This window comes from Homo sapiens, chromosome 2 (genome assembly GCF_000001405.40).
Source record: "Homo sapiens chromosome 2, GRCh38.p14 Primary Assembly".
NCBI classification, from domain to species: Eukaryota; Metazoa; Chordata; class Mammalia; order Primates; family Hominidae; genus Homo; species Homo sapiens.
In genome coordinates this window covers 77,419,370-77,434,764 of record NC_000002.12, presented here as the reverse complement: position 1 = coordinate 77,434,764, position 15,395 = coordinate 77,419,370, and the positions used below count along the sequence as shown (strand labels likewise).

The following is a 15,395-nucleotide window of genomic DNA, read 5'->3' as shown; positions in this document are numbered from 1 at the left end:
CAAATCACTATGCTTTACTGACTTTTAAAATGGGAATGCTGTAAAACAATTTCTAAATTATGGAGTTGTTTAGAAGATAAAATAATGCATGCAAAGTACTGAACACCAAACCTGGAGAGAAAGTTCTCCATAAATTACAGCTATTATGTTAATTTTATGTACCAATGGTTATTAAGATGTATCAATTGTGGTGTGTAAAATATGTAACTTTTTTGCATAACTCTAATTAATTTCTGCCACCAGCTCTTTTAAGACTGTTTTTAAAAGAAAATTAGCCATTTGTTAATAAACTCAATCCATTAGTTTTTTTTTTTTTTAACAGATCAAGTGTTATTATTTTCTCCCTTTGTTTCAAAAGTTGCATGTACGTTTCTGACTCACATCAAGGCCCATGAAAGGTGGCTGGGTTCTTGGTCACTATTGGCCTGTTTTGGTATCTTTTGCAGCATTTTTATTTTCCTGGTTCCTATTCAGTAAGAGCCATTCTGCTCTGACATGTGGAAAACTTTTTTTTTTTTTCCCAATCTGGGATCTGATAAAAAAAAGTCTACACACATGATTGTGTCTGTTCAACATCCTAACGCTGATGTCACTCTCTACAGCTTTAAGATCTCCAGAGGGATCTTTTGGATATTATCTTAATTTTATCACTGTGGGAAACTTAGTAGGGCAATCTCACATCTAGACCCATTGGACAATTATGTCTACTTTATTGCTACAGCAACTTACATGCTGGGAAGTCTAGAACCGCATGGTTCTTGTGGGCTCAGATATCCTCTGCTCTCAAATCCCATAACTTGTGTAGAGATTCTGTTGTGCCTCTTTGCATGAAGCTCAGATGGGTTAAAATGCAAGACAGAAAGCCATCAGAGACCTATTCCTAAACAGAATTAATTCTTCTGCTCTTCTCTCTGATGTTTCTCATGCCCCAGCTCAAAGATCGGTGGAGAGAGCCTTATCTACTCATTCTGCAGCATCCCAGTGGCTTGTGAATTTTCCTTCCACTCCTGTTGTTTGTGTTAGGACTTCAACATTTGAAAACTCCAAAGCCAAGAAATCCTTCTTTTTGGTTTTTCAATGTCTGCTATGGCTTCCCTTAATTGGTGGTAAAATGGCCTAAGGTCTTATGGCAATGAAGAATGGAAAATCTATAGGTAAACATATCAGAATATTACCTGATAAGTATATCATCTTGCTTTCCTACACACTCTACTTCATAATAAGCAAACTTTATAGGCATAGTGTTTGACTTTTAAAGATCTAGTCATTTTTAGATTTGTTAATTTTGGTGCAAGGTTGAGATGGAAGATAAGCTTTCTCTGAACTTGGCAATCCGTTTTGATTTTAAAGTGTTATGGTTAATTCTGTTTGACCTTTCCCACTTCTTTTTTTCTCAAAATATAATATTATAGCCTCCCTGCACATCATATCTTCCTCATACTGCCCTCATAACTTTCTGTTCATCTATTCTCTCCTATTTTCATTTTTAAGGAAATAAATGGGCAGTTCTGCTCAAGTTCTTCTTCAGGGCAGCAGCTTTCAAACAATTGAACATTTTTATCTGTTGGTACAGTACGAAGGCTTGGGGTTACAAAAGCATGTATAGTTTTAAGAAATTTAATTTCCAGATCCACATGTACTATTTCTTAAAACTAACCTACCTGAAAACTGTCTAAAAGCTGTAGATTGTCTTTTTCTGCCTTGTCTTTCACAATTGCCCTTCTCCCATTTCAGAGAGGAAAGACACAATGCTCACTCAGCTATCATCTTTTCACTGGCAGAAGATGTAAACATCTCCAGGGAATCAAACAAAGAGACAGTTTGGAGAATGCCTTGTAAAGTATACTCCAAAGAGCAAAGCAAAGAAAATCTTAGTAAGAAGTATTGAAAGGAGAAGTCTTACTTCATCCTGTTTACATTTCTCTTGTTTACATATCTGTTTCAGCTAGACTGAAACAGGACTCTGACTCTTCTTACCAAAGCTTTCTTGGGGTATACATGAGTTTGGGTGTTTGTGTATGCCTATATCTATATACACACATATAACATATACATGCATATGTGTCTGTAATCTCTTTACCTATCTCTAGCTCTCTAAATATGAATACATGTATGTATACTTAAAAGTATACTTATCTCTTAGCCTTTCTGTCTCTTTATCTGTGTAATTAGAATTCAGTAGTGAGAATGTTGTATCCCATATGTCGATGACTGGCTTTTGCCAATGCAGACATTTTCTCTAAATTGAATGAATGAGATAAACCTGTTTTTCTAAAGTTTAATAAACAATATATATTTAAAGGATATACCTTACAAAATTTGCCAAAAAATTCATCTTCCACAATTATTTGACATAATCATAGCTACTGCTTTCGTCTGAATGTTTGTGTTGCCTAAATTAATATGTTGAAAGCTAATCGACGATGTAACAGTGTCAAGAGGTGAGGGATCCTGAGGGAGACACAGGAATGAATCCTTAACCATGAGAGCTGCTACGTGGGTTGCACCCAGGAAAGTCACAGGGGCAGGGCTATGTGGAGCTTTGGGAACCCAACCCAGTGTATCCTGAAAGCAAGAAGTTGAGTCAAAGATTATTCTCAGGCTTTAAGATATAATGTTGTCTGCCCTGTTGGGTTTGGGTTTTGAACTTACTTGATACAAATTACCCATTTCTTTCTTTTTTTCTTTTTTTGAGATGGAGTCTCACTCTGTTGCCTGGCTGGACTGCAGTGGCACCATCTAGGCTCACTGCAACCTCTGCCTCCCAGGTTCAAGTGATTCTCCTGCTTCAGCCTCCCAAGTAGCTGGGACTACAGGCACATGCCACCATGCCCGGCTAATTTTTGTATTTTTAGTAGAGACAGGGTTTCCCCATGTTGGCCAGGATGGTCTCGATCTCTTGACCTCATGATCCGCCCTCCTCAGCCTCGCAAAGTGCTGGGATTACAGGTATGAGCTACCGTGCCTGGCCCCAATTACCAATTTCTTAGTTCTGATTTCTGCATTTTAGAATTGAGAAATATCTACCCTCTGCCTTCCCCACCATAAAATTTTGGAAGCACGTAAGTTATTTGATTTCACAGATTCCCAGCTAGAAAGCAACTGGCCTCAGAATAAATCACACCCTGATTGTCATCCATATCTGATTTTGATATTTAGATGAGACTCTGGACTTTAGACTTTTGAGTGAGTTGATGCTGGAGTGAGTTATGACATTTGGAGCTATTGGGATGGAGTGGATGCATTTTGCATGTGAGAATTTTGGGGAGCCAGGGGCAGAATTCTATGGTCTGAATGTTTGTGTTCTCCCAAAATTTTATTTTGAAACCTCATTCTGAATGTGATAGTATTAAGAAGTTGAGTTTTGTGGGATGTGATCAGGTTATGAGCATAGCCCTCATAAATGGGATTAGTGCCCTTATAACAGAGGCTTTGGGAAGCTTGCTCACCCTTTCTTGAATTTGTACTTTCCAGCTTCCAGAACTCTGAGCAAAAAAAAAATTGTATTATTTATAGAAGTTTATTTCTATATTAGTCAGGGTTCTATAGAAAGACAAAATCGAAAGCATGCATAGATAGAGATAGACGAGAAGATTTATTAGGGGAATTGGCTCATGCGGTCATGGAGGCTGAGAAGTCTCACTACAGCTGTCTTGGAGTCGAAGAACCGGGGAAACCAATGTTGCGACTCTCAGTCCTAGGCAGAAGACCTGAGATGCTGGAGGGCTGCTCATGCCAGTTCCAGAGTCTAAAGGCCAGAAAACCTAGAGTTCGGATGTCCAATGGCTGGAGAAAGAAAAGGTGTCCTGGATCCAGAAAACAGAGCAAATTGGCCTTTCCTCTGACTTTTTTTTTATCTGGGCCCCCATCTGATTGGATGGTGCCTGCCCCCACTGAGAGCAGATCTTCCCCCACTCAGTCCCCCAACTTACATGACAATATCTTCTGGAAACACCTTCACAGATACACCTCAAAACAATGCTTTGCCAGCTATCTAGGTATCTCTTAATCCAGTTCCTTTTCTTTTTTCTTTTTTTTTTTTTGAGACAGAGTTTCACTCTTGTTGCCCAGGCTGGAGTGCAATGGCGTGGTCTCAGCTCACCACAACCTCCGCCTCCTGGGTTCAAGTGATTCTCCTGCCTCAGCCTCCCAAGTAGCTGGGATTACAGGCATGTGCCACCACGCCCGTCTAATTTTGTATTTTTAGTAGAGACAGGGTTTCTCCGTGTTGGTCAGGCTGGTCTCGAACTCCCGATGTCAGGTGATCCTCCCGCCTCGGCCTTCCAAAATGCTAGGATTACAGCCATGAGCCGCTGCACAGGGCCCAATCCAGTCAAGATAATTCTAAAATTAATCATCACATGCCACCTAAAATGTCTTATTATAACAGCCAGAATTGAATAAGAAAGATGCTAATTTTAAAAGGTTAAGAGATTACCTAGATTTTAAGTGATTATATGGGATATAAGACCATTTTTTAATTGACAGATAAAAATATATGTATTTATTGTGTACAACATGATGTTTTAAAGTATGTATACATTGTGGAATAACTAAAGCTAGCTAATTAACATATGCATCACCTCACATTGTTATTGTTTGTGGAGAAAACAAGATCCATTCTTGCATGTTTCAAGAATACAATATATTATTATTAACTCTAGTTAGCATGTTTTAAAACAGATTTTTTTTTTTTGAGACACAGCCTTACTCTGCTGCCCAGGCTGCTGGAGTGCAGTGGCAGAATTGCAGCTCACTGCAACCTCCGCCTCCTGGGTCCAAGTGATTCCCCTGCCTCAGCCTCCTGAGTATCTGGAATTACAGGCATGTGCCACCATGCCTGGCTAATTTTTGTATTTTTAGTAGAGACAGGGCTTCACCATGTTGGTCAGGCTAGTCTCGAACTCCTGACTTAAAACAATCCACCCGCCTCGGCCTCACAAAGTGCTGTGATTACAGGCATGAGACACCCCACCTGGCAGATTTCTTGAATTAACTCCTCCTGTCTCAATAGAAATTTTATATCCTTTGATCAATATTTCCCCCACCCCTTCTTTCTGTCCCAGCTCCTGATAACCGCCATTCCACTCTCTACTTCTATGAGTTCAACTTTTTCTGATTCCACATACACATAAAGTGAAACTATGTGGTATTTTTCTTTCTGTGCCTGGCTTATTTCAATTAAAGTTATGTTCTCCAGTTTGATCTATGTCGTTGTAAACGACAGGATTTTTTTTCTTTTTTTAAGGCTGAGTAGTATTTCATTGTGTATAGTATCACATTTTCTTTATCCACTCATCTTTTGATGGACACTTAGGTTGATTCTGTTTCTTGGCTATTGCGAATAATGCTGCAAAATCATGGGAGTGCAGGAGTCTTTTAAACATACCAATTTTCTTTTTCTTTGGATATATATTAAGTAGTGAGATTGCTTTTTGAATGAAAGTGCATATTGTAATTCTTAGATAATTTTCCTGGGTCATAAAAGATCTTATTCTTATAAGATCATTATATCTTATAATCGATTATTCCGTATCTGGAGTTGTTCTTTAAATGCTTTATTTCACACTTGCCCACATTGGAGCTCAATTGCCATTCGTCTTACCCTACACAGCTCCGTGAGTTCTTCCTGCACTTTACTCCCACTCATTCAGCATTCCTTTGCTTAGAATAGCTTGGATAATTTACTGTGTACTCCCACTTTTAGGTTATTTATAAAAATCTTTAAATGAAATTACTGTCAAACCCAGGGAATGACATTGTTAAACTTTCCTACCCAGTAAAGGATTAATTTAGGTCTGTTCTTTTTCTTCTAATTGTGTCTACTCCTTATTAACAGTGATCAATAGGTATTTGTTAAGCAGCACACTATGTGCTTAAAAGTACACCAGAGTCTTGGGACATACCGATGAATTCAGACATTAAAAGGATTCTACTTAATCACAAGGCAATTAAACTTTATTTGCTTTTTTAACAGTCTCAATAATGAAACTTTACTTAAGAACATGCAATAGTTATATTCACCATTTACTCTTCTGATTCTTCCGTTAATGAATGGCCTTATCTGTGTTTTCTATTGACAATACACAGGCAAACTTCAACTTTTCTTCTAAGTTTTAAACAGTTATCCAATTGATACTAAAATTATTTAGAGCCTATATCTAAAAAATGTGAACCTTTTAAAAATATTACTGAGAATGGGAAAAGGCAATATTCTACTGTGGGCTAAGAGTCCTTCTCACATTAAATGAGTGATTCTCAAATATAAAATTATGGAACAGGGCCAGTCTCCTGATGAAAGTTTTGCCAGGCCAAAGTGAAATAATAAAAAATAAGAACATTAACCACAGTTTAACAAAAAGTTACATTTATGTAATTGCCATATGTATCCTAATGTCCTTCTGATTTTTGTGTGTGTTAATATATCCTGTCTCTACTGTTGATGTGGTTATTGGACGAGGAATGTGGGCATTTTTAATGTCTGTAGTTGGTGTATCAGTCCATTCTCGTGTTTCTGTAAACAACTGCCCAAGACTAGGTAATTTATAAAGGAAAGAGGTTTAATTGACTCACAGTTCCCCATGGCTGAAGAGGCCTCAGGAAACTTACAATCATGACAGAAAGGAAAGGAAACACATCCTTCTTCACATGGTGGCAGGAAGGAGAAGTGTCAAGCAAAAGTGGGGAAAACCCCTTGTAAAACCATCAGATCTTGTGAGAACTCACTCACTCTCACAAGAACAGTAGCATGGGAGTAACTGCCCTATGGTTCAATTACTTCCCACTGGGTCCCTCCCAGGGCATGTGAAAGTTATGGGAACTACAATTCAAGATGAGATTTGGATGGGGACACAGCCAAACCGTATCAGTTGGTAAATGGGAAAGTTGGCAAATTTATGCTACTCTTCCTCACTTCTTTAAATGTTATATGGTATGTGGGATTCTAAATATTAGTAACATTGATTTATATATCAATAAGCAAAGAATTTTAACTCTTCAGTGGAGCCTTGGTTATAAGATCTAAGTAAAGATTGTATGTCCCCAAATCCCACAGTGTTCTCCCATATTCTTTCCCTATGGCCAGCTGATGGCCAAATCATATATTTTAAGGTGAAAATACATGTTAAATCAACAACTCAACTATATAACTGCTTCACAAGGAATATTAATCTGCAAAACTCATATTGCTCTAAAACTTGGTTTCAAACTATCAATAAATGAGAGTTTTCTCTGTGCTTATAAATCATTGTTACACACATTTGTGTACATTCAAATCTATACTTCTTTTCACTTAGCAAACATGTCCTTATAGGGAAAAATACTTTAACTTGGTAAAGGGTAAATATTTACATAAAAGTAGAATTAATGTAGTGATCCATAACTGTACTGTGGACTAAGAGTCCTTATTTGTTATTTTTTCAACAAATTTTTCTCAGATATTAACTAGGTCCCAAGCACTTTGCTAAATTCTAGAGAAGAATAAAGCTAGGCCGGGTGCGGTGGCTCACGCCTGTAATCCCAGCACTTTGGGAAGCTGAGGTAGGCAGATCATGAGGTCAAGAGATCAAGACCATCCTGATCAACATGATGAAACCTCATCTCCACTAAAAATACAAAAATTAGCTGGGTGTGGTGGTGCGCACCTGTAGTCCCAGCTACTCTGGAGGCTGGGGCAGGAGAATCACTTGAACCCAGGAGGCGGAGGTTGCAGTGAGCAGAAATCACAGCACTGTGCCCTAGTCTGGCAAAAGAGCAAGACTCCGTCAGAAAAAAAAAAAAAAAAGCCAGGCACAGTCACAGCCTTAGCTTAAAGAATAAAGGGGAATACAGGCAGCCATCCATAGCCTTATAAGAAAATATGCATTTGTCACTGTGGAGAGATTTCTTTATCTCTCTTTCTCTCCCTCTCTCTCTCTCTGTGTGTGTGTGTGTGCATGTGTGTGTGTGTGTGTGTGTGTGCATACACCTCTGTGTGTGTACATATTATGTACTCACATACACATGGAGAGAGAGAAAAAGAGAGAGACAGAGAGCATGCAGAAATCTGAGGAATAAGTGAAAGTTAATAAAAAGGGAATTCAAAGTAGGGGAGGAAAAGAAGGCCCTTATAAAACCATCAGATATTGTGAGAAACCACTCACTCTCACAAGAACAGTAGCATGGGGGTAACTGCTCCATGAATCAATTACTTCCCACTGGGTGCCTCCCAGGGCATGTGAAAATTATGGGAACTACAATTCAAGATGAGGTTTGGGTGGGGATGTAGCCAAACAGTATCAGTTGGTAAATGGGAAAGTTGGCAAATTTGTGCTACTCTAAAAGGAAAGGAAAGCCTGTAAGTGTTTTGCTCAAGGAATATCAATATCTGATCAATGTGATGGAATTATAGCTCTGGCTGAGTGCAAAGAATGGACTGCAGGGAAGCTGGGGGGTACATGTATGTAGATGATTTAGGTTCCTATTGTAGATACATTAAGGGAAAAGGTTAAATCACAGCTGAACTAAGAAAATTGGTGTTAGTTAGTGAAAGACACTAAGAAGTAAATGAGCTTGAGTAGCATTTAACAAGTAGATTCAAGAGAATTTTTGATTAATCGAACAGGGGAAATAGGGAGATGGATATCAGGGATGACTTTTTTTTTTTTTTTTGACGGTGTCTCACTCTGTTGCCCAGGCTGGAGTGGTGCAGTGGCGCAATCTCGGCTCACTGCAACTTGGCCTTCCAGGTTCAAGTGATTCTCCTGCCTCAGTCTCCTGAGTAGCTGGGACAGCAGGCATGCACCACCATGCCAGCTAATTTTTTTTTTTTTAATAGAGACAGGGTTTCACCACATTGACCAGGCTGGTCTCAAATACCTGGTCTCAAGTGATCCGCCTGCCTTGGCCTCTCTAAAGTGCTAGGATTACAGGTGTGAGCTCCCACGCCTGGCCAGGATTGACTTTTAATCACTGTCTTAGAAGCTAGATTCAAACAGGTTCTATTACATGAGGAGCCAAGGCTTGAAAGGAGAGCTGGATATAGACCATGTAGAGATTTGAGATATCCAAAAGACTTTGTCAAGGAGGCAGTGGATATACATATCTTGGGCTAAAAGTAAGATCTGGCCTTAAGAAATAAACTTCTTGTTTATCCACTTATAGGTGTCAATTGGTACATATATGATTATCTAGGGAAATATTATAGAATGAAAAGAAAACAATCTTTAGAGGGAGCCTTGAGGAATTCCAATCAGTAGAGAAGGTAAGATTCCAAACAAGGCAGAAAATGGATTGCCTAACATAAGAGAAGAAACATAAAAGATAGATAACCAGGAAACCAAGGTAAATATAGATCCAGGCTAACAAAAGTAAATGCTACTTAGGGGCCAAGTAATATGATGGTTGGAGAATATCCAGTGGATTTAGAAAAATGTGTTTGGTGATAATCATGAGACATTTGGAAGTAGAATAATAGATTAAATTAATGACTAGGCTGAGAAATGTATAAAAAGTCAGGAAATGGAGAGACTGAATACAGAGAGTTCTTACAAGAAACTTGTCTTTGAAACTGGAAGGTCTCTAACTTGGTCCTTAATTTTCAGATGTTGGTTTACTCTGAATGAATAAAATATAGAAGAAAAACTTAAGGAATATAAATGAAAATCTTTAAAGATTGTTAAATACCAAATTCCTCACTCTGTGAGTGTAGTTTTATTTAGCACAGGTCTTTTTGTAATTGGAATAGTTTTTTAATAGACACCATGCTTAATCATCCTCAAGAGTCTGCCGCTGTGATTCAAAGATGTTTCATATTCCACTTAAAACATCAAGCATCTAAAATAAAAAGAATATACTAGTTCACCTCCTGGAGCTCTGAGAAATTTTAATAAAAACAACCAACACTAATAATGGACTCATTAACACTTGCCTTTGTCATCTATAAGGATCCCTGGGTCTATAGCCAAATATAGTATAACTTCCACCAGGAGTGTATATGTGATTAAGGCTGGAATTTCCTCAAGTTTGAAGCAAATCTTCAAAATACTTGTTTGTTCTGATTCATTTTTAGTTAAATAACCTCAAGAAGTTTATATGAACTGTGATGGCAAATTGTACAATCATCACTAAAGTATTACTTGATGGTTTCTGGAAATTGTCCTTCGCTAAAATGGTTCACCCATCAGAAAGTTGCTAACAAAGACATCAAATTGCAAAATATGCATTCCATTGGAATAAGGAAGTGGTTTTGGTTAAAAATCAAACTATTCTATAGCAGAATGATGATACTTCATGTCTATTATTAACACTTTAAAACTGAAGAGTTTACCCGGTATTTTCTGAGCTCATCAGTTCACTGTATAATGGAGTATATTATGAAAAACTTGCGAATGCCAAAAAGTAGGAAAATATATCCAGAGCTAAAGCTCTTTCCATGGAGGATGAGTAGAAAACATTATTTCGAGAAATTCTCAACATTTTTTTCTAAAAATTCAGTTTTCTAGTGATTGCTTCTTATTTCAAAAACAATGAAAATAACAATAAACTAAAATGTACAGAACTCTTGCTATATGCCCAGGAGAATTCCAAGTTTGCATGATTGCTAAGAGGTTGAGCAATAACACAAAACCAGATAACTTAATTTCAGATTCTGACCTCTCAGTCCTCTTAAGTACAGTAACATCTGCCACCCATAAAGTTGTTGATATAAATGTTTTAAAAATTACCTAGTTAGGTAATGACAAAACACATGTATAGGTAATTTAGAAAATAAATAATAAAATTAATAAAGATAAAAAATTATTCTAATTGACAGCTTAATGGATACAGCTGAAAAACAAGATAGCATTTTATATGTAATTATTAAGTGGAATGTGACTGATTGTACCAAAGACTGGTTGTCATTTGCACTTTGGGATTCCTGAACCCAGGCTCTTATACTATGAATTGGCTCACTCGGGGTCCATTTTCATCTACCTTATCTTTTTTTATGCAGATTAGAAAATGAAACTCATATTTTCCTACATACCTTCTAGTCAGGCATGACTTTGCAACACAATTCTGACTGTTGAGAAGTTGGAAGTCTTTTAGGAATTAGCCGCCTATCTGCATAGAAAGATAATGCTTTGAAAGAAAGTTTTGCCCCTTCCATCCTATTCCAGTCTGGCCCTCAGATATGGTGCTTCAGCAACCAATCATGACCATTGGTAGCATTAGAGATGGCAGAAGGGATAGAAGGGACTTGTTACTGATGACACCATGCATGGTGCCATGCTACTAGCCCTGAACTTTTCATTATGTAAGATAAACAGAACACTCCCTGTTTAGGTGATTGTTACAGAAAGTTCAATTTTTTGTTACCAAATGCATTTTTCATATCTACAGAGAGTGATTTGTCTTCATGTATCAGTAATATTTAGAATGATGAGACCTTATATTCAGTTATTTAAATTTTGGGAATTATTCCAAAGAGATGGATTTATAAAAGACCCATGTGCCCTAAAATAAATGAGCTTGGTTAAAAAAAAATTACATGCAAAAAGTATTTATTTCAGTATTATTTATAACACTGAAAAGTAGAAAAAACTTAAATGGTAAGTAGGCGATGAAAAGTAAATTAAACAAGTTATGCTTATTTTATGGGCCATTATCTAGCAATAAAGCAACTCTTAAAATGAATAGTGCTAAAAAATTTTTCAATCTAAGCAGAACACTAAGAAATTAATATTTAAAATTAAACACAATATGATTAAAATTCCACATTAAAGCAAGTAATCCTAAGGTTTGTGTCAAGTTGATATATGTTATGGAATATTTTGTTGCTATTTCATTATATGTTTTTTCCCTTAATATGACTACAGTAGGGATTAAATAGAAACTTGTAAACTTTAAAAACTTTTATTATGCCAAATTTTGAAAACATACAATAAAGAGAATGCTGTATGATAAATTCAAATTGTTTCACATATATTCCTATACTTTCTTCCTTTTTCACTCTAGATTATTTTGAACCAGCTACCAACATCATACCATATTCCTGTAACAATTTTAGTCTGTGTCTTAGAAACAGGAGAATGCTTTTAAAAAAATAAACACTAAATAAACTCTATATCATCATCAGGCCTAGAATATCCTAAATAGTTTCTCAATATCATAGTCAAATATTCTATTTTTTCAAATTTCTATGATGGTTTCATAAATTGTTTTCTGCTTATTATATCAATAAGAAAGCAAATGTATTCCATCTCTTGCAAATGGTTGATGTGTCACATTGCCTCGTATTACTTCTTTGCAATTTACTTCTTGAAAAAACTGTGACATCTTTCCAGTAGAGTATCTTAAAGTATGGATTTAACAAATTGCAACTTGCTGGTACCATTTATTACATTTCTGCATCAGACATGGATGCAGTTTATTGACAAAGTATGGCTTATATGGTGTTTTGCTCTTTCATGTTTATGTAGTGTTAACAGCCATAATAATGAATACCAAAATCCACCTTTTATTAGAGATTACAAAAAATGGTATTTTACTTTAAATATTTCTACTTTCATTAGCTGGAATACTTGCACAAAGAAAAACTTTATCTCTTCAACTACAGTCACGCATTGCGTAACAATGAGGATCCATTCTGAGAAATGCATCAGTAGATGATTTTGTCATTGTTTGAATATCATAAAGTATATGCTTAAGTAAACCTAGATGGCACAGCCTACCACAGGCATAAGCTCTACGGTATAATAGGCTATACGATATAGGTTACAAACCTGCCCAGCATGTTACTGAACTGAACTAGACAATTATAACAAAATGGTAAATATTTGTGTATCTAAACATACCTAAACATAGAGTAGTTACAGTAAAAGCACAGTATTATAGGCTTATAAGACCACTGTTGTTTATGTGGTCCATTGTTGACCAAAAATATCGTTATTCATTGCATGATTGTATATCGTTATCTCAAGATTTCTCAACCCTGGTGTTATTGACGGTTTTGGACTAGATAATTCTTTGTTATGAGGAGTTGTTCTGTGCACTGTAGGATATTCAGTCACGTGTCTGGACTCTTCCTTTTTTTTTTTGAGATGGAGTCTCCCTCTGCCGCCCAGGCTGGAGTGCAGTGGTGTGATCTCGGCTCACTGCAAGCTCCGCCTCCCGGGTTCACGCCATTCTCCTGCTTCAGCCTCCCGAGTAGCTGGGACTACAGGCACCCGCCAACACGCCCGGCTAATTTTTTGTATTTTTAGTAGAGAAGGGGTTTCACCGTGTTAGCCAGGATGGTCTCGATCTCCTGACTTCGTGATCCGCCCGCCTCGGCCTCCCGAAGTGCTGGGATTATAGGCATGAGCCACCACGCCCGGCCTGGACTCTTCCTTCCAGATGGCAGTAACGCATTTCCCTAGATGTGACAACTAAAATGGTATCTAAGACATTGCCAATGACCCTGGGGGCAAAGATAAAAAAACCCAGTTGAGAAACACTGGGTTATCTTAAGATTTGTATATGAAAAGCAGGATATATGTTTGATTCTTTTCCTTTATCAGTTTTCCAAATGACCAGTTAGTTCTCAAGCTTTCCTTAGAGGAGACGTAATAACTCATAATTTTAAATGGAATTTATGTCTTTGTATTCACTATAGCTACTAGTTCTATTTATGCTCATATTTTCTTATTTTTGAACTGTGAAAGCCTTTTCTAGTTGGTTTCTAAATTTCTTTGATACCTCTAGTGGCCTTGTTTCCTGCTATACCAAGTTCTTTCAAGCTAATTTTTTATATTTTCTGCCCAGGCCTGTGGCCCACTATTTCTCCAAGGAGCCTTGTCTTTTTTTCACTAGGAAATATAATTCAGAGAATATAATCTGGATGTTTGAGGTGCTCATTAGTCTTAAGGCTAATATATTATATATTATATATATATATTCCCATTTTGTCCACTGAAAGGGCCTTAAGACTTAAGTCTTAAGGGTAATATATTATATATTATATATGTATTATATATATATATACATTCCCATTTTGTCCACTGAAAGGGCCTTAAGACTAATGAGCACTTCAAACATCCAGATTATATTCTCTGAATTATATTTCCTAGTAAAAAAAAGACAAGGCTCCTTGGAGAAATAGTGGGCCACAGGCCTGGGCAGAAATATATATATATATATATCACATACACTACGAAGTCATATTTCCATTTCCATTTCAGTATGAATAGCTTTTTCCTTATTCTTTAACCTTATACCTGTACGTCCTTTCTCCAGTGCTGCAAATTTTAATACCCAATGATACTAACATAGTCACTCATTTGTTTTATACTTGTGGTGGGCAGACAATAAAGCTGCGTTTAAATTTCTAACCTCCTGCTAATTAAACCCTAGTGTAATCCCATACTTTTGAGTGTGGGCTGGACACAGTGACTCAATTCCAATGAATATAATTTGACAAAAGTGATAGAATGTCACTTCCTAGGTTACATTACCAAAAGAGCATGACTTCTGTCTTGCTGGCTTTATGTAATTCTTTGCTGGTTTGCTTTGAGGTAATCCATGTGTTCTGTTATAAACTGCCCTATGGTGAGGTCCACATGACAAGACACTGAGGGAGATCTCCCAGCAACAGCTGGAGAGGACCTGAGGTCCTCAGATGAACAGCCCACAAAGAACTGAATCCTGCCAACAATGATGTGAGTGAGCTAAGAAGCAGATCCTTTCACAGCTCACCCTTGGGTTAATTCTAATGACAGAAACACCAGCCAACACCTTCATCCCAGCCTTTTGAGAAACCTCAAGTGCAGACACTCAGTTAAGTTGCACCCAGATTCCCACCTTCAGAAACTGTCCCCAGGTGGGGAATGGGGCTACAGTACAAGCTGCAGCTTTCTATGTTTACCGATCATGTTTCTTCTATGATTACTTAATCGTTCCTTTCCTTTGTATTTCTGGAAGGCATCTGGTCAAGTGTGATTAATCTTAGTTTTCTTTTTTTTTTCTTGAAGCTCCCTTATAAAATATTATATGCTTTTATTTGAAACCCCACCCAAGTTTATTATGAAATGTCCATACTAGGTACTGTGCAAAGTGGAAATTCATAAATTAGTAATAACCCCAAACAAAATACAGTCATCCCTCTGTATGTATCTATGATTTTTTTACATCCATGGATTCAACTAACTGTGGGTCAAAAATATTCAGAAATAAATTGCATCTCTATTGAACATGTACAGATTTTTTTTCTTGTCATTGTTTCCTAAGCAATACAGTATAACAACTAGCAACTATTTACATAGCACTTACATTGCGTTAAGTATTATAAGTAATCTAGAGATGATTAAAAGTATTTGGGAATATTTGTGTAGGCTGTATGCAAATACTATGCTGTTTTGTATAAGGGACTTGAACATCCATGGATTTTAGTATCTGTG

General features: G+C 37.0%; 1 protein-coding gene across 4 annotated transcripts in view, besides 1 other annotated feature; it reads left to right on the top strand.

The window, feature by feature from the left end:
* The window catches only part of LRRTM4 (leucine rich repeat transmembrane neuronal 4), a 774,692-nt gene that overhangs the window by 87,612 nt on the left and 671,685 nt on the right, over positions 1-15,395 (top strand). The gene's annotated exons all lie outside the window — the stretch shown is intronic.
* Positions 13,227-13,442: a silencer, noted in NCBI's record as "fragment chr2:77648449-77648664 (GRCh37/hg19 assembly coordinates)". NCBI's record gives its function as "represses an EF-1alpha promoter that drives an FKBP-Casp9 reporter gene in an ReSE screen in K562 erythroleukemia cells {active_cell/tissue: K562}" and the evidence as "EXISTENCE:reporter gene assay evidence [ECO:0000049][PMID:32094911]".